Source organism: Homo sapiens, chromosome 9, assembly GCF_000001405.40.
Source record: "Homo sapiens chromosome 9, GRCh38.p14 Primary Assembly".
NCBI classification, from domain to species: domain Eukaryota; kingdom Metazoa; phylum Chordata; class Mammalia; order Primates; family Hominidae; genus Homo; species Homo sapiens.
The window spans coordinates 125,664,055-125,690,899 of NC_000009.12; the positions used below are offsets into that span (position 1 = coordinate 125,664,055).

A 26,845-nucleotide genomic window follows, 5' to 3' on the forward strand; every position below is an offset into this window, starting at 1 on the left:
AACAGATTTCGGCCAGGTGCGGTGGCTCACACCTGTAATCCCAGCACTCTGGGAGGCCGAGGAGGGTGGATTACCTGATGTCAGGAGTTCGAGACCAGCCTGGCCAACATGGTAAAACCCCGTCTCTACCAAAAATACAAAAATTAGCCGGGCATGGTGGCGGGCACCTGTAATCCCAGCTACTTGGAGGACTGAGGCAGGAGAATCACTTGAACCTTGGAGGCAAAGGTTGCAGTGAGCCGAGATCATGCTACTGCACTCCAGCCTGGGCAATAAGAGTAAAACTCCGTCTCAAAAAAAATAAAAAAAAATAAAAATAAAATAACAGATTTATTTACAAAAGACCAATAACAAAGGTATGAGGAAGAATGTCCTATTTATCATGGTAGGCTGGGTGTGGTGGCTCATGCCTGTAATCCCAGCACTTTAGGAGGCCGAGGCGAGAAGATCACTTGAGGTCAGGAGTTTGAGACCAGCCTGGCCAACATGGTGAAACCCCGTCTCTACTAAAAATACAAAAATTAGCCAGGCGTGGTGGCAGATGCCTGTAATCCCAGCTACTTGGGAGGCTGAGGCAGGAGAATCATTTGAATCTGGGAGGCGGAGGTTGCAGTGAGCAGAGATCGTGCCACTGCACTCCAGCCTGGGCAACAGAGCAAGACTCACTCTCAAAAAAAAAAAAAAAAGGAAAAGAAAAAGAACGGAACAAGAGAACACCAAAGACTCCTCAATACCCAAAGCTTCAGAAGCAGCTCCTTTCTGCCAATGATATGGGAGGGAGCAGAGCAGAGTAGAAAGACTATAAAGTCTTTGGGGTCAAACTGTCCAGGAGGTGAATTCTGGCTTCACCACTTACTACTTACAAGTAACTTGGGAAAGTTATTTGGCCTCTGAGCACCAGTTTTCTCACCTGTAAAAGAGACATACTAACAGCTAATTTACTGGCTTTGAATGAAGATGAAATAGGCCAGGCACAGTGGCTCACACCTGTAATCCCAACACTTTGGGAGGCCGAGGCGGGCGGATCACATGAGGCCAGGAGTTCAAGATCAGCCTGGCCAACATGACAAAACCCTGCCTCTACTAAAAATGTTTTTTAAAAAATTAGCCAAGCATGGTGGCACACGCCTGTAATCCTAGCCACTAGGGAGGCTGAGGCACAAGAATTGTGTGAACCCCAGAGGCGGATGTCACAGTGAGCCAAAACTGTGCCACTGCACTCCATCCAGCCTGGGTGACAAAAGGAGACTCTGTCTCAAAAACAAACAAACAAAAAAGAAATAAATAAACTTAGTGGCTAACATACTATATACCCTGAGCTGATTACTCATCAGAATCACCCAGGGACCTTTTGAAAACCATAACTTACCCTTAAGAAAGTTCTTTGTAATTCTCCCCACCCTTGAGAATGTACTTTGTGAGAACCACCCCCTGACCCCAAAACATTGCTCTTAACTCCACCACCTATCTCAAAACCTATAAGAACTAATGATAATCCCACCACCCTTTGCTGACTCTTTTCGGACTCAGCCCGCCTGCACCCAGATGAAATAAACAGCCTTGTTGCTCAAAAAAAACAAAAAACAAAAAACAAAAAAAAAACATAACTTTGTGGGCCCCAACCCCCATCTACTAAATCAAGAATTCCACAGGTGAGGCCTAGAAATGTATAGGGAATGTTATTATAACATGCACTTTTGGATGCAGTTCTGATTTTTATACCTCCATTGTATTTGGGAATCATTACTTAAGAAACCAATAATAGAAGTTACACAAAACTTCAGGTACATGTAAATAATTGATATAAATAAGCTACATTGTTGTTTTGCATTATTATTTAACTTCATGCATAAGAAGCCTTATTTGCCTATTAGACTTCGAACTTCTTGAGGAGAGGATTCATGTAGTCCTCCTAGAGCTCAGCACAGAATTATTAGGCACACAGGAGTTATGAAAGAAATACTTGTTAAATGATTCAATGAGTAAGGGTAATAACTAATTATGTACAGAATAAAATACCAATACCATTTTAAAATAATAAAATTAAAGATATTTGGATCTTAATATGACATTATTCCTAACAAAGCACCCTTCTGATGACACCATGTTCTTATCTATCCATGCAGTTTTAGTTACAAGAATATTACAAGGATCTTACTCTAAGGTATTTCATTTATCATGTGGTCTCATGGCACATGGATCAGTAAGTTCATAAAGAACTGAGGTATGGACTAGATGGTCTCCACAAACCCTCTATCTCCTCTATGAAAAGGCTGCCCTTATGCTGTGTCTTAAAGGATAAACTGGATGTTGACAGAATAATTGTGGAAGAAGAATACTTCCAGGGTGGTCATCCTGTTTAGAATGATGATTCTTCTAGTGGGGAATGAAATAAAACAAAGATAAGAAAAACAAATGAAAGGATTTTAGCAAAGCATAAATAATAGAAAAAGAATGAGGGAATGAAGTTGGGTATGGTGTCATGTGCCTGTAGTCCTAGCTCCTCAGGAGGTTGACACACTTGAATCCAGAGTTTGAGGCCAGCCTGGGCAACACAGTGAGACCCCCAATTCTTAAAAGCAGAGAATGAATAAATAATTACCCATCCAAAACTCTCAATAAAGATCAAAAAGATTTAGATGTGGCATTTCTTGCTGAGAGAGTACGTTTGTGGGAGATGTATAAAAAAAGGATGGCTGCTCAGTTTGCCAGGTAGATGTTTAGTGGACTGCTGATTCCACTTTTCTAGCATGCTTCAATACACCCAGAGTGCCAAGCTATGGTTTAATGATAGGACCCAGCCTAAGGGAGAATCCAAAGACATTCTTTTGTGCATTGATAAGTTTCACTCTAACCATCAGGAATGACTACCAGGCAGGCTGCTGGTCTGGCCAGAATCAGGGAATAACAGTTCAAGCATGAACATACACATTGAAGAGCTTCTCCAGAAGTAAGACCACAGGCTCAATTATCAAAATCCGTGAGACACAGAAAAGAGAGAGAAGGAAACTGAAGGAGAGAAGTATAAGAAGTACATGTCTACAATGGACAGTATGGTTACAAATGAAAGCAAAAGGTGACATAACTATTTCTCCAGCATATTCTGTGAAACAATGAACAAAAATTAAAGTAGATTAGACTTTAAAAAATAAGTGGGGGAGCAAATAAAATCCTCTATTTATTAGATGTATCAAAATTTAAGCTGAAGAACTTACTTCTCACATTGTAAAAGGGACTGATGCACCTATATTTGATGTACTCTATTCACCGTATTTTTGGGTTTGAGACACAGTCTCGCTCTGTTGCCCAGACTGAAGTGCACTGGCGCGATTTTAGCTCCCTGCAACCTCTGCCTCCCAGGTTCAAGCAATTCTCATGCCTCCGCCTCCTGAGTAGCTAGAATTACAGGCGCACACCACCATGCCCAGCTAATTTATATTTTTAGTTGAGACAGGGTTTCGCCATGTTGGCCAGGCTGGTCTTAAAACTCCTGACCTCAAGTGATCTGCCTGCCTCCTGGCTAATTTTTTGTATTTTTAGTAGAAATGGGGTTTCACTATGTTGGCCAGGCTGGCCTCAAACTCCTGGCCTCAACTGATCTGCCACCTTGGCCTCCAAAAGTGTTGGGATTACAGGTGTGAGCCACAGTGCCTGGCCTCACTGTGCGTTTTATTTATAATTTTTTAAGCTATGGAAGTGAAGAACGCAAATAAAGGGTGGCTGGAGAGACAGAGGAGCTTAAATAAACTTGCTCTGTATTCACTGATCAAGAAGAGATTAATAAGAACTGCTTTAAGATATATAAAAAATTTGAAAAAAGTGAATAAGATAAGTGATATAAAGTATTTTCAGTTTGTATTAAATACAACAAAGAGAAACATTAACTTGATCAACAGAAGGGGCTAGCCTCGTGAGATTTTGAAAGTATTCAGAGTAAAACTAGAGAGAAATTCAAGAACTACTGCATTCAAGCAAGTCAGAATGAGATATAAGTAAGAAAAACAAGTAATTGGGACTTCTGGTTCTACACAGTCATCACTTAGTAGCAGTCATGAAGAAAATCATACCTGCTAAGGATACTTGAGTTTATAACCATAGTATGAGAAATCAAGAAGCACTTTACAGAGTGATTTAGCGCAGAGAGACTGGCCTTTATATGCAGGCAGAGCTGGACACAAAACATCTCATTATCACACTTCCCTCCATGTTGGGTAACTTTGGCAAGTTCATCAAATCCCTGAGCCTTTGTCTTATCTGTAAACAATAGCAACGATACCTACACCTTGCAAGATCACTGCAATAGAGGTAATGCATGTAAAGTACCTAGTAGAGCACGAGGTAGAGGCTGCTATTAGTATAATAAACCTTAATATTATTAGACTTATAATTATTGTGTAACAATGGAGCCAATCCACAAATATTTATTAGGCATCTATTACATGCCGATATGATATTGGGAGGTGCTGGGAGGATACAGAAGACAGACTGCAGATATTTCTTTTAAAGGAGAAGAAAAAGAGAAAGTCTAGGAAACATGATATAACCACTATAAAATATTTTAATAGCATTTTATTTCTGAAATTGTTTTTCTCCCCAAGTCTTTTCTTCTTGCTGAGACTGAAGCTTTGAAAGTATATAATATGGCCAGCCTTTATACACATACTATATGAAAATATACAGCAAATGCTAATAATACCAGCAACATAATGGTTTTTACACTAAGGGAAAAGAATTTGCATATATGCAAAAAAGACTGTTACTAGGCCCACTAATGGGGCAAGGAAAAGTCTAGGTTGGAACTGCCAAGAGAAATCTGTAACCTGGAAACTCATCCAAAATATCACAGGGGCTGGGCGCAGTGGCTCACGCCTATAATCCCAGCACTTTGGGAAGCCAAGGCAGGTGGATCACTTGAGGCCAGGAGTTCGAGAACAGCCTGGCATGGTGAAACTCCATCTCTACTAAAAATACAAAACTTAGCCAGGCATGGTGGTGTGCACCTGTAGTCCCAACTACTTGGGAGGCTGAGGCAGGAGAATTGCTTGAACCAGGGAGGCGGAGGCTGCAGTGAGCCGAGATGGCACCACTGCACTCCAGCCTGGGTGACACAGCAAGACTCCGTCTCAAAAAAAAAAAAAAAAATCGGCTGGGCACAGTGGCTCATGCCTGTAATCCCAGCACCTCAGGAGGCCACGGTGGGTGGATTACTGGAGGTCAGGAGTTCAAGACCAGCCTGGCCAACATGGTGAAATCCCATCTCTACTAAAAATACAAAATTAGCCAGGTGTGGTGGCATGCGCCTGTAATCCCAGCTACTGAGGACGTTGAGGCAGGAGAATCGCTTGAACCGGGGAGGCAGAGGCTGCAGTGAGCCAAGACCGTGCCATTGCACTCCGGCCTGGGCAAAAAGAGTGAAACACTATCTCAAAAAAAATAATAATAATAAAAATCAAATCATAGGGTACTCCTTGGCCTATATTTTTTTAAAAAATCAGAAAAAAATACTGACATGACAGCTTGTAAAAAATGTCCCCTGCACACATCAATCCCTGTGACCCAGAGTGAAGGGTGGCCAAAAAGCCAAGAACTAAAGAGCATATAGCTTCAGAGGGTCAAGGCACACAAGAGAAAGAGCTCAAAGCTCAAAACACTAGAGGTATCTAAGTCCAGAGGATTTAAAAGGATGAATTAAAAATAAAAGTTCTTATATAATAAACTAAATATATAAATCTCAAATTAAGAATTAAAATCATTTCCATTTACCTGATTGCTTAGAATTTCTTTCTTTCCACTGAATATTTTTGCATTTGATCTGGTTTTGTCTCTCTTTTCGGAGTCGTTCTAATCTTTGAGCTTGAAAAGAAATATTATAACTGTAAGTTTGTCAATGAAAGTTTACCATAAACAAAGACATAATTAACTACCTTTACATGAATAAAGATGTTTTATATTGCATATGTAGAGAAAAAGTCATAAAATTTTAAAGGTGGCACCCCTGAAAAGCAAATACCAACAAAAACATGAAAATATTCTTGATTTATAATTGAAATTAGAGGATATAAAACACTAATAGAGATCATAAAGATAGTATTAACATGGAAGAGAATAATAAAATGTGAAAACTTCTGTGATTAATATGACATTTCATTATATAAATCATTAATAACGGTCTTAAAGGAATTTTAATGCACAAATGAACTGAAGTGAATATTACATTACAGGAATAAAATTACTGTTATGAATTACTCTACCCATTTCAAAAATTAAAGATAAATGAACTCAGACTAGACTATTAAAGTTTTAAATATAAAATCCTTTATCTAAAAATCATGAAAATTATAAAATGTCAAAGCTATATAAATTAGCATAGCTTTTCTTCAGTGGGCTGAAACAGTTTATAGGTAGTAAAATAAATGATTTGTATCTTTGTAACATTAGTCAAATCTTAAAAAGAACAATTTTTCTTTTACAAAATTTTAAGATATGCTGCATGGATTAAAAAGTAAATTCTTTGGTCACTAAGACAACCTACAATCTCAATTAATTATTAGCATCTAAGTGCTACCTAAAGAAATTCCAACAAGAGTCACCTAAAATTATGCATTTGTGATTATATTGCCACTGGCTGATCAACCTTCAAAAATCAGTGAACTGATCCTTTAGAGAAATACCACCCAGCATGCACTTAACAACTGCCGCATACAGAGACCACAATAAAAAAGAAAGTCACAATTGATGCCATCTCTTGAAATCAGTTTTCTCTTGCTAATCTTCAGCTTCCTATCCCAGCATTTTGCTAATAGAAAATAAATACATCTCTTTTTCCGCCTCTTTCAAGATAGGAAATTATACACTTCTGCCTTAGCATTGTGGTAGGGAAACACTGAAAATAATCTTACCAGAAATTTAAACTATGCTGGGAAGAGCATTCTGACAATGTCACTATATCTAACCAACACTGAAGAAAACTACATTCAATTGCAATTAATAAATGTGAAGGGTACAGCCAAAGTAATATAATCATAAAGCTCTCAATTTAGCAGCATTCTCCCACTGAAATACATTCAACCTGTCATATAAGATATCATCTCAATAACCTGCAAGGAAGTCAGTTTCAACTAGAGAACTGAAAATCAATGGTTCTAAATTATATTCAAACCTTCACTCAAATCCTATTTTGACAAAAGTTCCTTTAGATACTGGGAAATGCTATTAATTATTTTCATCATGAGAGCAAATTATTCTTATGTCACAGATACTGAATTCTGAACCAAAACTTGAATGTGCCTTTCACAGTAAATTGTATCCAGCTCTACCTCCAATATTCCTTTATGTGTGTTTTACATTTGGACCATGAAAATAAATATGTAAGTATTTTCAGTGTTCTACTATATCTCCTTGCCATTACCTTTCCTGGGAGTTAGCAGGTTACTGCTAATTTGAAGATTATATTTTCTGATTATCTAAAAAAAATTACCTCCTAGAATACCTGTCATATTAGAACTACAATATGTATTCTAAATAATTTGTCTAAGTAAAAAAAAAAGTCCTTGGTTCATCACATTCCCCTTGAAACAAGGCCACCAAAAAAATATAAGTGGGAAAATGGGCAATAAGCTTTTAAAGCTAATGACTAAATACGTGTATACCAAAGTTGAGTGTTTTCAAGCCAGAAAAATCAAAAGGTGATCAATTTAAGAAAATAAAGGCGAAGTATCAAAAACAGGGGCCCCTTTTCTAATCTCACACCCTATGTATAGAATCCTACTAAAACCAGCCCTAACAAATACTCAGGTGTCTCCTCCCATTTCCCCACTCCCCCACAATTCCTCCAGGGGCAAGAAGTGCCTGCTCTCTTTGGGTGGTCACCTCTCTGTATTAAATGCTCTTTATTATGTCAACCTGAAATCTGTCTCCGGGTAGTCTACCTACTGGGACTAATGTTGCTGTGTGAAGACACTCAAAGCCAGTCCACTTGCCTTTCTACACAATGACTTGTTAGAAATGTCCAACATGTCTCTCCTAACCAACTTTTTCACTATCCCCCTTCTGTCTACTTCTAATAATATTCTAGAGGCCCTCTCCATTCGCAGTCGCAGAGATGGAGATGTTGCTCAGACTCACTCTTAGTCTGACATATGCATGTTCCTATTAATACCCGGAAACATCCCCCATTAAGCCTATTCCAATATTATGCATTATTCCATAAGACTGTTTACTGATTTAAAGCTCAGAAGACATGACTAGAACACAATGTTTACCTGTGTTTGAGCGTCTTCTAATACCAAAGTCCCAACTTGAGGTAATATCGACTGACTGGGCATATACATAGCCCTGAGTCTCACCATTGCTTCCCTGAATTTCTGACCCACTGTCTCCAGGCATTGAAGGAGGATGAATCTTCTCTAGGTCAACATCATGATCAATGAGAACCATCTCACACATTCCCGTGTCATCACTGGTCACATGTGACTGTCGAATATGAGCTAGAATGATAGTTGGATTGTCCAAGAAGGCCATCCTTTCTGTGGGCCAATTTCCTTAAAAGGCTATTTTCTCCTCTTCATATTGTTTCACGAGCTCACCTACCTAGAAACATGATGTACACAGCAAATATTTAAGAATAAGGCAGAAAATGACTGAATCATTTTTCAGACACATTCAGTGTAGTAAAATGCCACCTTGAAAATCAACATTTATCCCTGTTCTGTGGAGCTTAAAAGGATTTAGTCTAAGCTGAAAGGAAATCCTTATAAGCACTAGGGGCTGCAGCTCTAGTCAATGAGATCTCTATAGAATCAGAAAGGAAGGCTTGCACTCTTGCAAAACAAATCACAGCAACTCCTTACAAGTCAGGCCACTCGAAGCACATAACTACTGTTAAAACAATATATTTTCCTTTCTTTCTCCCTTCACTATCATGCAATCTTCTCATTACTTTATAAGGTCATGGGGGAACAAGTTGTATTTTCCTCAAATGATGTGCTAAAGTACAAAACTCTATTTCATCAGTTTACATTTCCCCTCCTGTCATATGATTGTGAAGTGTTTAAAAGGGCACAGACAATGCTTTCAGAGTTACTAGGGGTTTTATAAAAATGATGTACCACCAAATTAATGTTGCTCAATGAATATATTTTCCTGTCAAGATAGTATTGTGTTTTTGTTGTTGTTGTTGTTGTGTTTTTTCTGAGACAGGGTATCGCGCTTGTTGCCCAGGCTGGAGTGCAGTGGCGTGATCTTGGCTCACTGCAACCTCCACCTCCCAGGTTCAAGATTCTCCGGCCTCAGCCTCCCGCGTAGCTGGGATTACAGGGATGCGCCACCATGCCCAGCTAATTTTGTATTTTTAGTAGAAATGGGGTTTCTCCATGTTGGTCAGGCTGGTCTCAAACTCCCGACCTCAGTTGATCCGCCCGCCTTGGCCTCCCAAAGTGCTGTGATTACAGGCGTGAGCCACCATGCCTGGCCTGTGTTTTTAAAATAAAATTTATAATCAAAATTACCTACTATACAATCAACTTCTTATTTTAGAAACTTAATTATAAAAACTGCTTCCTCAGTCCTGTTAAAACTGTAATGAGGCCGGGCACAGTGATTCACACCTGTACTCTCAACCCTTTGGGGGGCCGAGGCAGGAGGACTGCTTGAGTCCAGGAGTTCAAGACCAACATGGGCAACACAATCAAAACTCTATCTCTACAAAAATATATATATATAATAATTATTATTTTTTAATTAGCTGAGCATGGTGGGACATGCCTGTAGTCATAGCTACTCATGAGGCTGAAGTGGGGGGATCACTTGAGCCCCAGCATTCAAGGCTGCAGTGAGCTATGATTGCACCATTGCACTCCAGCCTGGGTGACATAGTGAGACCCTGTCTTCTAAAAACAAAACAAAACAAAACATACAAAAAACACTGTAATAATATTTGTTCTAGTAACAAGATAGCACCCTCTCAGTTAAGTGAAAATACTCAACAAAGAAAATATTGCAGGACAACGGTTAGGTACTAGGCCCTAGAGACAGAAAGGGTTCAAACCCTGGCCCTATTACTCGTTAGCTATAAGATCTCAGTCAAAATACTTTACCTTTTTGAGCCTCCCTTTTTTTTTTCCTTCATTTATAAAATGGAAGCTTCAGGAGATAATGCAGGTAAAATGCTCAAAAAAATACATGGCATGTAATTAAATAAATGTTAGCTATTAATAATAATGATAAAAAATCAATAATTTCAATGATCAATTCTTGCTTAAAGTAGTCCTAAAATATGTCAATATCCCATCTGTCTTAGTAAGTTCGTGGCACATAAAATAAGTCTGTGCTTCCTTTGTGATAGAGGACACTGCAAGTCATCTGAGTGACTTCCCTGCCCCTGCAAAATTGTTGAGAAGTACAAGGAATATGAAAGCTGGATTGACTATGTTTCCAGGAACAGTCCTAGAAGATACTTACTTTCAGAAGGACTTATAACACCAGATTTTCTTGTAATCTGTTTCTTCTAGAAATGGAACATAGAGAGGAAATCTAGCTAATAAATCCTTACAGTTAACTAAGGTTTTAAAAATTGTTGTCTGGAAACACATCATTCTGCTGATGTGTCTTAAAGTGGGTCTTAAAATAAAGATACTGAGATTAAAAAGAAATTTAACTGAGGAGCATCTCTAATCAAGCAAATTACATTAATCTTCACTTTTTTCCTCTTAATATATTCCTTGAGTACTTATTTTACTCTGAGGCTAATGGGAAATGCAAAGGTGAGTAAGGTATCCCTGAATCAAAAAGTTAATACCCTAATACAGACCGAGTACATCTCCTAATACCATGGGATTCCTTTAAGCATCAAATTTCTGAGATATCTGGTCCCTGAAGTATTAGTGTCAATCTACCATTTTAAGGATATTGATCAGAAAAAAATATGAAATTAACAATGAGCATTTAAATTTCACTTGTAAAAATACAAACTTCTCTATAACCATAAAAAATGTATACACCACACATTTATTTATAAATGAGAGTATTTGTGGAAGCATAGTATCACAGATCAGAGCTGCAAACATCCTTCTACAGCAATCACAATAAGCCATCTTCCTGGCATGAAAGGAAGGCAGCTAGTCACCAGTAGAGAGGCAGGTGCTTTCAAATTCATACTGAATAGTTCTCCCTTGCAAAAACAAGGGCTTTAATGAGAAGTCACACATTTAATACACTTGATCTTAGCCAAAAGGCCGAGAAGTGATCAGATATTTAATAGGTGTTCTAGCACCAAAAAGTCAAATGGCAAAAGGCAAAGTGACAAAAGTATACTGAAGTGCCCTCAATAAAATCTATTCTAGGGAAATAGATCACTTCTGAAGATAAGAGGAATGGGCAAACACTTCTGAAGGCACATACCAACTTCCCAGCTTTATCCTCCCAGAACAAATGCCTCAACAGCAGCAGATATCTTCTCTATTAGGACACTATGACTTCATACATTAAGGAATCTGTATGATTCATTCAAAAAATATTTATTCCCTACCAGCTCTGATATGGAACTCCCACAGGACTGCCCCAGAAAACATATTATTGTGTATGTCACTTTTTACCTCCAATTACATGTACTTAAAGACTTAGACTATAAGTTCCACAAGGACAGGGTTCATAACACCATATTCCTTCTGGCAACAAAGGCTGTTATACATGGCAGGAGTTCAATAAATGTTGCTGTCTAACTTCCAAGGACTATTCAATTTTGTTGTAGAGATAAGTCATATATGAATGTGCCAGGTGTAAGTGTGTGATTATAAATAAAGGATTGTCTTTTTTTCGTAATACAAGAGCATCTCTTCAACGTGCCCTTCAAAATTGTCCCCTTGGAACACTATTCAACTTATTCTAACAAGACTACTTTTCAAAACCCAAAAGAATATTTTAAAAAATCTCCCAAAGAGCAGCAAATTATCATTTGAAGCTATGTTTGATTTCCAAGACAAGGACATACATATCACGGATAAAAACAAATTGTACTCTCTGATCAGTTGTGCACAGATCAAAAAGATTTTTAAAAATCTAACTCTGGCAAGGGTTCAGAGAAATGGGCACTCTCATGCACAATATGAAGGAATGAAAACTGGGACTTTTTAGACGGTAATTTGGTAATATTTACCAAAATATAAAACATGAATACTATCTGGGCAATCCTACTTCTAGGATTTGTTCTAAGGAGATAATTGTGTAAAATATTTATCTCAGAGTAATTTGTAATACTGGAAATCTAAAAGGAACCTACAATAGTACACATATGCCATGACACATACAAACAACACAATACTAAGTAGCGATTAACAATACATGGTAGAGGGTGAACAAAATGTGGTATATAACGATGGAATATTGTTCAGCCTTCAAACACAGGAAATTCTGACACATTACAACATTGATGAGCCCTGAGAACATTACGCTAAGTGAAATAAGCCAGTCGCAAAAGGACAAGTACCGTATGATTCCATTTATGAGGTACCTAAAGCAGTCAAACTGACAGAAAGTCTAACAGCAGTTGCTAGGAGCTGGAGGAAGGTAGTAATGGGGAAAAAGTATTTAACGGGTACATTTCAGTTTGGGAAGATGGAAAAGTTATGGAAATGGACAGTGGTGACGGTTGCACCATAATATGAATGTATGTAATGCCAATGAACTACACATTTAAAAATGGTTAAAATGGTAAATTTTACTTATCATTTATACCATGTATATTTTACCACAATTTAAAATTTTTAAGTTTTTTTAAAAAGTCTAGGAAACACCAGATTCAACCAAGTTAAAGAGGTTTTCTTCTTGCTGTTTCATCACAGGACTTCCCAAAGCTTTTAAATTATGTACTTTGTGTATTATGACTCTCCAAGAGGGAGGAATCTAGTAACAATATATCCCAAACTTATTCCATCCATAAATATTGTTTTCTGTAGGAATACTAAACATATCAATGTATAACAGCGTTTCACAGAACAAGGTTTAGAAATGCTATTCTACACTTTCACAAATGCTGTCTCTTCAGGCCTTGAATGCCTTCCCTGGATGTTACCAACTCTTGATTCTCTGACACAGCCAGACGTCTTTTGGCCGGGTGCAGTGGCTCACACCTGTAATCTCAGCACTTTGGGAGGCCGAGGCGGGCGGATCACTTGTGGTCAGGAGTTTGAGACCGACCTGGTCAACATGTGAAACCCCATCTCTACTAAAAATACAAAAATTAGCTGGGCGAGGAGGCTAAGGTGGAAGAATTGCTTGAACCTGGGAGGCAGAGGTGAGCCAAGATGGTGCCACTGCCCTCCAGCCTCAGCAACGGAGCAAGACTCCATCTGAAAAAAATAATAAGGCCCGGTACAGTCACTTATGCCTGTAATCCCAGCACTTTGGGGGGCCAAGGCAGGTGGATCACCTGAGGTCAGGAGTTCGAGACTAGCCTCGCCAACATGCTGAAACCCCGTCTCTACTAAAAATATAAAAAGTAGGGGGGCGTGGTGGTGCGTACCTATAGTGTCAGCTACTCGGGAGGCTGAGGCATGAAAATCTCTTGAACCTGGCAGGTGGAGGTTGCAGTGAGCCGAAATTGCCACTGCACTCCAGCTTGGGCGAGAGAGCAAGATTCTGTCTCAAAAATAATAATAATAATAAAATAAGATAGACCTTTTTACATACCTTTAGGCCACAGATAAATAATATCACCTTGCCTAAGCTTTCCCACTTTTCACAGCTTCTTTCTCACACTTTTTAACACCACGTTCTTTAAAGCATAAAGATTTGTTTTACTAAAAATGGAAGCAATAGGGATATCCATGCACAGTAGAAGGAAAGAAAGAGATGTCCCAAAATAACACAATTTTTTTTTTCTTTTTGAGACAAGGTCTCACTCCCATCGCCCAGGCTGAAGTGCAGAGGCATGATCACGGCTCACTGCAGCTTCAACTTCCCAGACTCAGGTGATTCTCCCACCTCAGCCTCCCAAGTAGCTTGGACTATAGGCTCACACCACCATGCCTGGCTACTTTTTGTATTTTTTGTAGAGATGGGGTTTTACCACATTGCCCAGGCTGGTCTTGAACTCCTAGGCTCAAGCTATCTACCAGCCTTGGCCTCCTAAAGTGTTGGGATTACAGGCGTGAACCACTATGCCAGGCCAACACAGGCATTTTTATTTTATTTTATTTTTATTTATTTTTTTTTGAGACAGAGTCTCGCTCTGTCACCCAGGCTGGAGTGCAGTGGCTATCTCTGCTCACTGCAAGCTCCGCCTCCCGGGTTCACGCCACTCTCCTGCCTCAGCCTCCTGAGTAGCTAAGACTACAGGCGCCCGCCACCACGCCTGGCTAATTTTTTGTATTTTTAGTAGAGACAGGGTTTCCCCATGTTAGCCAGGATGGCCTCGATCTCCTGACCTCGTGATCCGCCCGCCTTGGCATTCCAAAGTGCTGGGATTACAGGCGTGAGCCACCGCGCCCGGCCCAGGCATTTTTAATATACTAGGTGGGTCTCCTTTTACACTTCAAATGAATAAATATTCAACAAATATTTACTAAGTTTCTACTAAGTGCTAAGAGTGGTTTCAGATGCACTTTGGATACTGTTCCCAGATTACACACCCATCTGTATTCATTAATGATCATGAAACCTGCCTGTGGTAACTAGGAACATGTTCTAAACATGGGAATAATTTTTACTAGGTTTTGATGGGCATCACGTCTTAATATAATTTTGGATAATTTTACATACACTCATTTCCAAACTTTATTTATAATGGCTTATGAAAAAAACTGAGACAATGAAAGGTTAAGAAACTTGCCCAAAGCCAGACAGCTAATACATAGAAATAAAAAATCAAATTCAAGAGCTTGGGATCTTACTCCCTACACCACAGAGCCTCTCAAAACAAAGAGGGACAAAGTTACAATAGTCATAATAAACACAATTTTTTTTTTTTTTTGAGATGGAGTCTCGCACTGTCGTCCAGGCTGGAGTGCAGCAGTGCGATCCTGGCTAACTGCAACTTCTGACTCCCTGGTTCAAGCAATTCTCCTGCCTCAGCCTCCTGAGTGGCTGGGATTATAAGTGTGCACCACCACGCCCCACTAAGTTTTGTATTTTTAGTAGAGACAGGGTTTCACTATGTTGGCCAGGCTGGTCTCGAACTCCTAACCTCAGGTGATCCCCCCACCTCGGCCTCCCAAAGTGCTGGAATTACAGGCGTGAGCCACCGTGCCCAGCTGAACACGACTTTTTAAAAGCCTATTGTACTCATTTGTATCTAAGGCCTGAGAGAAATTTCCCCCATGGGTCTCTGTGAAAGACATAAGAGAGCAAATGTGTTATGCAGTAGAGTAAACCCTTAGCTCCCCTCCACTAACAACAGTGCTTGTACAACAGCAAGAAACAATCAGTGCATGTAATGGTTGTTCAAAAAAATAAAAGTCACAAAATTTCACAGAACAAAGGAACTTCAGTGATTATCTCGTTGTTGACCTGAAATCACAGAGGAAGGGTTTACTTTAAATATCTAGTTACGTCTAAGGAATATTTTTTAAAATCCCTAGTGACTCATGTACCTTTACTTCAAGTCTATACCTGAAATACTCTATTTCTTCAAATAACTCACTACAAGCAAACAAGCCCACCCTATACTTCTTCAGTCTCTAAGGACCTGAGATAGGCAACAATACGACTTACAATGCTCACGTCTATCCAATGGTTAGAAGGAAATTCCCCTTCCTGGACTTTCTCAAAACACTACCCGCTCACTTCCCTCTGATCTCTCACCTGCAATCTGTGAAAACTTGTCAGAATAGGCAACAGCCCGAGGCTTCACAAAGGTCTGCAAACTCCCAATCAAAAATTACTGCTGCCCCATCAATGTGCCATATAAATGCTGGCATGTTAATTGTGTATTTATAAGACTGTTAATGGTTAGTTAATTTACCTCCCACACTATTATTGTACTTGAAATGATTTAATGTCTGCTGAGGGAGTTAACAACATGTAACAGCAGATGCGAGATTTTTTTTTTTTTTTTTTAACCTTTCCACACTGTACCCCGACTTCACACTATTAGCATCAGGCAAGTTAAAGCTAATTCCTGTACAGGAGTCCTTAAACGTGTCATAGGAACACTCACATTTATTTTCCACAACAAGGAATGATTACAAGTGAGGGGAGAAAAAAAGGCTTTTTATTATATACAACGTCTTGCCTTTATAAAAACCAACAGACCCTCTTTTTTTATTTTTTAACTAAGATTTCAACATCCTTTGATCTAGTTAAAGCTCAGAATTCATACCTCCTGGAATTCGAAAATAATTGAAGTGACCATTAAAATAAAACACTTTATTGCTTTTAAATCTCTTTCTCTAACTCCAATTTAACTCTAAATTAAATCTTCATTTATTTTTTGGACTAGCAAAAATTGAGCTTTTTTCCCCCTCAGGGAATTAAAATCTTCTCCATGTGAATATGCCCAATTTCATTAAGCAGTAAATTGTGAGACCATATATCTGGAGAGTTTGTTTCTTCTTTTTACATTTTTATTTCCATATTTTGACTAAAAGTGCTTACTAGACTAAAATAACAGAAATGATTTATCTTATTTTGAATGAGATTCATTCACAAAATCATCTCAGCACTAAATGAAAAATTGTATAAATACTGGCCTGCCCCCTCCAGAAGTTTACTTACAAACTTCAGCAGAGGAGCTGTGTCATATACATAGGGAACAATAACATAAAGCAAGATAAACCCACCACCAAATGAGATATTAAGACAACATGTTTTCCAAGAGACAGGAACATCACAGAAGACTTCAGGAAGGAAGGCAGAAGTATTTAAGGATAGCTATGCTTTCATTAGGCAGAAACACAAGTGAAACAGTAACAGTTGACATTTACTGAGCTCTTACCATGAGATGTACTAATCACTTTTCATGTAACAACATATTTAATCCTTACAGCCACTTCAGGAGGTAGGCATTAATACTATCCTCATTTTATAGATCTAAAAACAAACAAAACTAAGGCTTAAAGGAGTTAAGTATCTTGCCCAAGGAGACAAGGTAGATTTTTTAAGACCACAATTTTTGAAGCTCCTCCCATCAAGAGGTGGAGTCTATTTCCTCATCCTTGAATCTGGACTCACACTGCGATTTGCTTTGACCAACAGAATATAGGGGAAGGAATGTTGTGGAAATTCTGAACCTTGGCCTCAAGAGCGCTTGCAGCTTCTGCCCTGGCCTCTTCTGGACCACTTCTGAATTATGGGAAAAAGTCAGGGGTAAAAGACTATGGGGAGAAAGAAGCTCAGCCATCTCTGTCATTCCAGCTGTCCTGCTGAGGCCCCATGAGTGATTAAGTCATCAGGGACAAGCCTCCCACTAACCTACCAGGAGGCACAGTCTCTTCTTCTATCAAATGTCTCCCTCAGACAAAGGAACCCTGATCCCTGGTTTTCTTGTCTTATGCCACTAACCTCGAAATGCCTCAGAATCTTACATCTGCCAAGATCCAGTTAAAAAAGAACCTGGTAGAGTGATTCTCACACTTCTCCACGGACACACCTGAAGGGCATGGGACAGTGACCATAAATCAAGGTATGAGACAACCTAGGGGAGCCACCTACAGTAACACACCATAAGAAATTTATTTTTAGAATTCATTCATATTTTGTATTCTATTTTATACTACACTGCACCTATGTATGTTTGTTTACAGAGATAGCGTCTCGCTCTGTCACCCAGGCTGGAGTGCAGTTGTGTGATCACAGCTCACTGCGGCCTTGACTTCCCGGGCTCAAGTGATCCTCCCACCCCAGCCTGGGACTGCAGGCAAGCACCACCACACCCAGCTAATTTTTAAATTTTTTTGTAGAGACAAGAGTCTTGTCATCTTCCCCAGGCTAGTCTCAAACTCCTGGGCTCAAGCGATACTCCCACTTTGGCATCCCAAAGAGTTGGGATCACAGGCATGAGCCACTGTGCCCCTCCCCTATGTTTGTTTTAACAGGAAAAAAAAATGTTTATCTTCAAATACATCACTAAAATTGATACTTCAGGAAAATGTACCATGGTTACTTTGTAGCTTCCACTACACCCTGGCACATCCTAGGACTCTCTTAACCTCAGTTTGAATGGCAAGGATCTAGTGGAAAAACATAGACTTTGGTATCAGAAATGTCATTTTGTACAGATAAAATGGCACTTTATCAATGGACAACTCAAAACTCTAAATTTTACTCAAAAGATGTTTCCTATAAGGTTGAAGAACTGTTAAGTATAAACCACACTAAACTATAAAGTTCTAAGCACAAGTTAGAATAAAATACTGTTATTCAGCTATTATAAAACAATCTGTATTTTCAAAGTGTTTTGAAATAATGTTTATGTGCTAGCAATAGCTGTGAAACTTCAAACAACCTAACCACCCACCACCCCCAAAACTTCAAACCTGCCAACATTTCCAGCTGTTACAAGAAATCTGCCAGTTCGGTATAATGTGGCCCCTAAATTATTTTTCCAATGGGTGTTGTCTCTCTGACATAATAGATTTGACTGACACTTGTGAAAATAAACAATTTTACGTTTTACTTTAAGATCTTGGGTCAAAATGTTTACTAGTTTTACCTAAACTGAAGAATATAAATAATGCCAAAAGAACTAGACTGTTTCTCAATGTGAAATTACCGGTTTAGGAGCTTAAGCTGTAACTAGCACTCAATTGTCTACCAAATATTCATTCATTGGTTTCATTCATTTGACAAATATTTATAAGGCACTTACTACATGCTGGGCACCAAAGATACACTGCTGAGCAAAAATAAAGACTTTTGGCCACTGCCTTCATGGATCTTCTGAGGGTGGACCCAGTAGATAGAATTTTAAATTCTTTTTTTTTTTTTTTTGAGACGGAGTTTTGCTCTTGTTGCCCAGGCTGGAATGCAATGGTGCGATCTCAGCTCACAACCTCCGCCTCCCAGGTTCAAGCGATTCTCCTGCCTCAGCCTCCCTAGTAGCTGAGATTATAGGTGCCCGCCACCACGCCCAGCTAATTTTTTTGTATTTTTAGTAGAGATGGAGTTTCACTATGTTGGGCAGGCTGGTCTCAAACTCCTGACCTCAGGCGATCCACCCACCTCAGCCTCCCAAAGTGCTGGGGTTACAGGCATGAGCCACTGCGCCTGGCTTAAATTCTTGCCCCTTTCTGTTGTCCCCTACCCTTGAGTGTGGGTGGAATCTGACTTGCTTCTTTCTGGCCAATAAAACATGGCAAAGGTGATGGGACAGTCATTTCCTTGATTACTTTCCATTATATAAGACTCCATCTTAGCCACCTGAAGAGAGCAATTCTAAGCCAGAGAGATCTTCTTGCCGGCCTTGAAGAAGCAAACAGCTATGTTATGGAACTACACATGGCAAGGACCTGAGAGCAGCCTCTAGGAGCTGAAAATGGTCCTGGCCAACCACTAGCAAGAGAAGGAGGATCTTAGTCATATCACCGCAAGGAAATGAATTCCACTACCCAACCTGAGAGAGATTGGAAGATCTTTCCCTAGTGAGCCTCCAGATGAGCTATATAGCCAGCTGACACCTTAATTTCATCCCTTTAAGAGCATGAACACAAAACTCAGCTGAAGCCATGACTCCTGACTCACCGTGAAATCATAAATTCATATCGTTTTAAGCAGATAAGTTTGTGGTAATTTGTCATGCAGCAAAAGAAAATGAATTCAGCATAGTGAAGGAAAATAAGCCTATAACCCTTCACATATAACACATAAGGCTCTCTAAAATGCAATTTCACTACCTCTTCCCTCCCCATCTTGCAACTTCCAGGACTGCACTGAATATGTGCTGGCCTTTGGTAATGATACTCCTTTATTTCAGGTGTACCCTTCTCCAATACAAATCTTATTCTTGTAAGTCCAACAGAAGTATCTCATCCTTGGTAAACCCTTCTATATCACCCAGAGTCCAACCTATTTTAATAGCATTTTATTTCTACCATCATTACAGTGAGTCATATGAATATTATTTTTAAGGAACCAACAATTTTAAATTTACCCAATTCTAGATTCATAAATATGGTTACTTCATTAAGGTATAAATCTCTCCCCAAATCATTTGTGAAGTTGTTACAGATTCCATCAACGATAATGTAATGGTTCAAATGGAAGCCGGTTTTTCTTCCTGGGAGACATTTAAGCAATCAATATCTGGAGATAGTTCCAGCTGTTACAACTAGAGATGGCTGCTATTAGTAGCCAGTGGGTAGATGCCAGTGACGCTAGTAAACATGGTACAATGCACAAGGCAGCATCCACAACAAAAAATTATACCTCCCCAAATATCAATATGAATAATGCCAAGCTTGAAAAACCCCACAATAATGTGAGGTTTGAAGCCACTAAATTTGTGGTAATTTTCAACTCCCTCGAAACTGTTTTGTTTATACTGAAACTAAACTATAGAACTTTGCTACTAAAATCTATGCTTAAACCTTCTAAGGGCTAAAAAAGTTCAAGTCTGTTTTCTGAAGTTTTAGTCTACCCTAAGGAGCGCCAAAGCCCAAACAACTACAATAAAGACAAGTTGCATTCCGTAAGACTTAGCCCTTGGTCTGAGAAGCCTTTTCACCCTTCTTCCCCTGACTACCTCCTAACATATTATTCAAAATCCAGCTCAACGGTAGCCTTAACCTCCTGGGCTCAGGCGATCCTCCCAACTTGGCCTCTCAGGTAGCTGGGACTACAAGCATGCACTACCACACCCGGCTAATTTTTTGCAGAGACAAGGTCTCACCATGCTGCCCAGACTGGTCTTGAATTCCTGGATTCCAGCGATCCTCCCCATCGGCCTCCCAGGGCGTTGGGATTACAGACCTGAGCCACCGCACCCGGCTTGCTCCCTCCATGTGCCCATTTCACTGCACTTAGTTCCTAGTTCTACCAAATAATTAACCCAGCACACTGCCTGTTAGTAAGGTGCTAAGTGTTTGTTGATTTTACTCATTCAACAAATATTTACTGAATGCCTACTATGTGCCAGGCACTGTTCTAGATGCAGAAAACACAGCAGAGAAGGCAAAGTCCTGCCCTCATGGCAGGACAAAGAAGTAAATTATATAGTGAGTTAGAAGTGCCATGAAGAAAAATAGCACAGAGAAAGAAATGGATAATGCTCGGTGGAGCCGTGAGTTGCAACAGTAAATGAAATAGTCAAGGAATGCCTCACTTAAGTGACATCTGACTTAACACCTGAAGGAGGTGAGAGAACAAGCCATGTAGACACTCCAGGGAATAGGTCTGCCAAGCAGAGGGGAACATGCCTCACACTGCTCAAGGAGCAGCAAGGAGTCCGCCAAGGAGCAAGTAGTAGATAATAAGATCTGAAAGACTGGGGTGAGTCTGTAGGGCCTTACAGGCCATCCCAAGGCCTTTAGCTTTTACTCCAAGTGAAATGAGGGGTCACTGGAGGATTGTGAATGATCTGTCTCACATTTAAAAGAATCTCCCTGGTTGCCATGTTAAGGAATGAATGAATTAAAGAACAAATAAAAGATCGCAAACAAATCACATTGGCATTTCTTTTTAAATAATAATCTGTTTACATGTTGGTTTTCTCTTCTAAACTTCTAAACTCTCAAGACACTGACTATCTTACCCATCACTATGCTGCCAGTTTCTAGTATATGTGGATGGCATTCAATAAGAGCTCATTGTGGAATGAATAGACAACAGGTGCATCTTTCTTGTTCCCAAGGGGCTGTCCGGTGAGTTTACCAAAAAGGACCCCCATCCATGCTGCTGGTTTAATAGATAGGTCTCCCATTACAATCTAAGATTTATTTTCCTTCTATCAGCTCCTCAGCGTTTGAAGTTTGCTCAAACAAGTGGAAGAATTCAACAGAGTAATGTTTCCACTTACCTGGTCTTCAGGGTAACCACATATCAATTAAGAAAAGCGGCCAGTGCAGTGGCTCATGCCTGTAATCCCAGCACTTTGGGAAGCTGAGGTGGGCAGAACACAAGGTCAGGAGATCGAGACCATCCTGGCTAACACGGTGAAACCCCGTCTCTACTAAAAATACAAAAATAAAATTAGCCAGGTGTGGTGGTGGTGGGCGCCTGTACTCCCAGGCTGAGGCGGGAGAACGGCATGAACCCGGGAGGCGGAGCTTGCAGTGGACCGAGATAGAGCCACTGCACTCCAGCCCGGGCAAAAGAATGAGACTCTGTCTCAAAAAAAAAAAAAAGAAAAGAAAAAGAAAAAGAAAAAAGAATAAAAAAAAGAAAGAAAGAAAAGCAACACACTTTACCACAAAGATCACTCAGGAAACCTAAATTCCAGGGACCTAACTACACGGCCTTGGACAAGTGACTTCTTTAAACCTCATCTGTTCTTATGTCTGTTAAATAGCATGGCTGAACTATATGAAGGGACTTTCAGCTCTTAAATTCCATTCCAGTCACTTGTGTGGAGGAGGAAAAGGAGGATGTGACTGGGAGAGGTTTATCCTGGAGCCCATCTAAAAGGTTTTGGGTGTTTTCGCTTCACATTGTTTTCCCTCGACCAGAATTTCATTGCATGTTTGACCTCTACCACACCTGTGCCATAATTCAAACTCAGAGGTACGAGGAATCTCTTTTTTGACGAAGAATTGTAATAGTATCAAGATGTTGCCGGTACACTCTCTACAAAGGTAAACCATGTTGACTGATTTGAACAGGCATTACTGCCGTTTTTGTGTTTTGTTTTGGTTTTTTTTTTTTGAGAGACACAGTCTTGATCTGTTGCCCAGGCTGAGGTGCAGGAGCATGATCTCAGCTCACTGCAACCTCTGCCTCCCACGTTCAAGTGATTCTCCTGCCTCAGCCTCCCAAGTAGCTGGGACTACAGGTGCCACCACCACGCCCGGCTAATTTTTCTATGTTTAGTAGAGCCAGGGTTTCACCATGTTGGCAAGGCTGGTCTCGAACTCCTGACCTCAGGTGATCTGCCCGCCTCGGCCTCCCAAAGTGCTGGGATTACAGGCCTGAGCCACCATGCCCATCTTTTTTTTTTTTTTTTTTAATGCTAGTATATAAACTGGTTCCAATAACTACAAGAGTTAAAGGTGATAAACAATACAGTTATCTTCAGAGTGTTATCATAAAAGAAACTAATATTAACAGAAAATGAAAATGGCACAGATTATAAAAAGGCACAGTGTTTTGCCACATCTAGAGTTCCACGTTGCTGTCACAGGCTATGGATTAGTGACATCTGCTATGGATTAGTTAACAGTTGTCACTGTTAAAGAGACTAGCTATGGGATGACTTTAGGAGAGTCAGTGCTTCCGACTGTTTCCTCTACAGTGAAATAGCCATAATATGTGTCCTATTATCCACTTCACAGTGATGCTGCTATAAAACAAAATAGAGGCTGGGCACAGTAGCTCATGCCTATAAATCCCAGCATTTTGAGAGGCAGAGACAGAAGAATCACTTAAGGCGGGGAGTTTGAGACCAGCCTGGGCAACAGAGCAAGACCCCACCTATACAAAAAAAAAAAAAATGTAAAAATTAACCAGGCATGGGGGCACATGCCTGTAGTTCTATCTACACAGGAGGCTGAGATGGGAGAATCACTTGAGCCCAGGAGTTCAAGGTTACAGTGAGCATGATTGAGCCACTGTACTTCAGCCTGGGCAACAGAGTGAGACCCTCTCTCTTAAATTTTTTAAAAAGGATATTTACAGAAAGCTAAAAAGCACGACATAAATCTAAGATGTAATATTACTGACTTTTCCTATTCTAGCTATATCTTTTTGGAAGGAAAATAAATAAGCTGTCAACTATCAAACTCATTAATTCAACTCCTGATGAACAAAAGACAGCAACAACATAATCTAAACCAGCAGATAATCCTCAAACTACTTTTATGTGACTTTGAATGGTGCTTTGTATTTTCACTTGAATAGAGCTTTCATAATCTCAATAAATGATAATGGCTATTATTGTTACTATTAACAAAACTGTGTTAACTTTGCTAGGTATTTTCTCAGAACCTTCTAGACTATCTCATTTTTTTTCTTCTTTTTTTGAGACGGAGTTTTGCTCTTGTCATCCAGGCTAGATTGCAATGGTGCAGTCTCAGCTCACTGCAACCTCCACCTCCCAGGTTCAAGCGATTCTCCTACCTCAGCCTCCTAAGTAACTGGGATTACAGCCACCCACCACCACACCCTGCTAATTTTGTATTTTTAGTAGAGACCGGGTTTCACCATGTTGGCCAAGCTGGTCTTGAACCCCTGAACTCAGGTGATCTGCCGGCCTCGGCCTCCCAAAGTACGGGGGTTACAGGCATGAACCACCATGCCCAGCTAGACTATCTCATTTTTTAAATCACCACAGTGTACCAAACATGAGGATAATGCAACAGAACTGGCTTCATTCTGCTTATAATACTATAATTAGGGTGAGAATGTTCCACAACATACAATTTAAATCGAATAATCAATTCTCAGCCCAGACATGGTGGCTCATGCCTGTAATCCCAACACTTTGGGAGGCAGAGATGGGCGGATTGCTTGAGCACAGGAGTTCAAGACTAGCCTAGGCAACATGGCAAAACCCCATCTCTACAAAAAAATACAAAAATTAGCTGGCCGTAAGACCCTCATCTCTTAAAAACAAAATAAAGGCACTTTTGCCATTCACAAAGCTATGAGGTAGATTCTATTATTCTTCATGTTCTATAAATCAGTAAACTTCGGCACAAACTTGCCCAAGGCCACGCAACTAGTAAGAGGTGGAGTCAGGATAGCCTGGCTCCAGAATCCTGCTCCCAATCACTACAATATGCTGTCTCACATTTCCAGCTTAAGCTCACTTCATCTTAATCTTCTTACTCCACTCCTTACACACAAGTCTAGGTATGGGTATACAGAGACTTATCAGTTCATTCAATAAGCATGACTACATACTACACGCTGAGGGTTAGGCGTATAAAGTGCTAAGTCATAGTCCCTATTCCCAAGAGGCTTACAGTCAAGCAAGGGGTTAAAGACAAGTATACAAATGGCCACAATAAAGAACAGGCCAGCCGGGCGCGGTGGCTCACGCCTGTAATCCCAGCACTTTGGGAGGCCGAGGTGGGCGGATCACGAAGTCAGGAGATAGAGAACATCCTGGCTAACACGGTGAAACCCCACCTCTACTAAAAATACAAAAAATTAGCCGGGCGTGGTGGCGGGCGCCTGTAGTCCCAGCTACTCAGGAGGCTGAGGCAGAAGAATGGCGTGAACCCGGGAGGCAGAGCTTGCAGTGAGCCGAGATCGCCACTGCACTCCAGCCTGGGCGACAGAGTGAGACTCCATCTCGGAAAAAAAAAAAAAAAAAAAAAAAAAACAGGCCAGGCACAGTGGCTCACGCCTATAATCCCTGCACTTTGGGAGGCTTAAGGAGGCAGGTCACCTGAGGTCAGGAGTTCAAGACCAGCCTGGCCAACATGATGAAACCTCATCTCTACAAAAAATTAGCTGGGCGTGGTGGTGGGTGCCTGTAATCCCAGCTACTCAGGAGGCTGAGGCGTGAGAATCACTTGAACCCGGGAGGTGGAGGTTGCAGTGAGCCATGATCGCACCACTGCACTCCAGCCTGGGCGACAGAGTGAGACTCCATCTCAAAAAAAAAAAAAAAGAAGAAGAAGAATGAGAGCAACGCTAGAGGAGTCTATAACAATGTACTACGGGCCAGGCGCGGTGGCTCACGCCTGTAATCCCAGAACTTTGAGAGGCCGAGGTGGGCGGGTCACCTGAGGTCAAGAGTTCATGACCAGCCTGGCCAACATGGTGAAACCCCATCTCTACTAAAAAAATACAAAATTAGTTGGGCATTGTTGTAGGCGCCCGTAATCCCAACTACTCAGGAGGCTGAGGCAGGAGAATTGCTTGAACCCAGGAGGCGGAGGCTACAGTGAGCCTAGATTGCGCCATTGCACTCCAGCCTGGGCTACAAGAGCAAAAGTCCATCTCAAAGAAACAATGTACTATGGAGACACAAAGAAAAAATATCTAAATGAGACTGGCTACTCAGACAAGGCTTCACAGAAGAGACTAAGATCACAATAATGGAAGAAGTCATTTCCAACTTAGCCACCTTAATAGTTAAAAAAAAGAGAGAGAGCTGGCAATTAAACCATCTATAATCCTGGCTCCCTGATCAGAAACTTCAGAAGTTTCAGAAATGCTTAAAACAAAAACATCAGGCCATGTGTGAGTTATTGCAGAAGCAAAGAAAAGATAACTACCCTTTGCAGTGGAGGAAGCCAAGGGAATGGCAGAAGTTGAGAGAGGGTGCATAGGAGAGGCTGAAAGCAAACAATCTTCGGACTGCCTGGCTTCAAACCTGGACCTGGCATTCGTGGTGGGACCTTGAGAAAGTAACAACTTCTGTGTCTATTTCCTCATCTGTAAATGGAAGTAAGTTCAGTGCCTACCTCATAGGATTGTTGTGAGGACTGAATGAATTAATACATGTTATGTGCTTCAGTGCCTGACCCATGGTAAGCACCATTACAACTCTTTACTATTATTATTGCTATTATTCCCTGGTCTAAGATGAATCTTCAAAGATGAGAAATTGGAAGGTTCAAAGAGGGGGTAAAAGGCAACATTCGAGGTAGAAGACACAGCATCGGACAAGGCACTGAAGCAAGAAACAGCAGAACAACATGTATTTAGTAACTAAAATTACACAGAGTTCAAAGTTGCTGACTAGCATTACAGAGAGACTTCCTCAAAACAGAAGACTAGTTATAAAGCTGTGAAGATAGCCCAGAGATGA

General features: G+C 40.3%; 1 protein-coding gene and 1 pseudogene across 6 annotated transcripts in view; both read right to left on the reverse strand.

Moving 5' to 3' along the window:
- The window catches only part of MAPKAP1 (MAPK associated protein 1), a 269,815-nt gene that overhangs the window by 226,661 nt on the left and 16,309 nt on the right, over positions 1 to 26,845 (reverse strand). For 4 of the 6 annotated variants that reach the window (NM_024117.4, NM_001006619.2, NM_001006617.3 and 1 more), the window contains exons 2-3: positions 8,262 to 8,589; positions 5,764 to 5,853 (exon numbers count right to left, since the gene is read on the reverse strand). The exons of 1 other annotated variant lie outside the window; for it this stretch is intronic. In NM_024117.4, the coding sequence (NP_077022.1) occupies positions 5,764 to 5,853; positions 8,262 to 8,520 (349 nt within the window). In that variant the 5' untranslated portion in view covers positions 8,521 to 8,589. The remainder of the gene's footprint in view (positions 1 to 5,763; positions 5,854 to 8,261; positions 8,590 to 26,845) is intronic. One more of the 6 variants, NM_001006620.2, reaches the window with a different exon arrangement.
- LOC124902358 (uncharacterized) lies at positions 11,100 to 11,243 on the reverse strand (annotated as a pseudogene).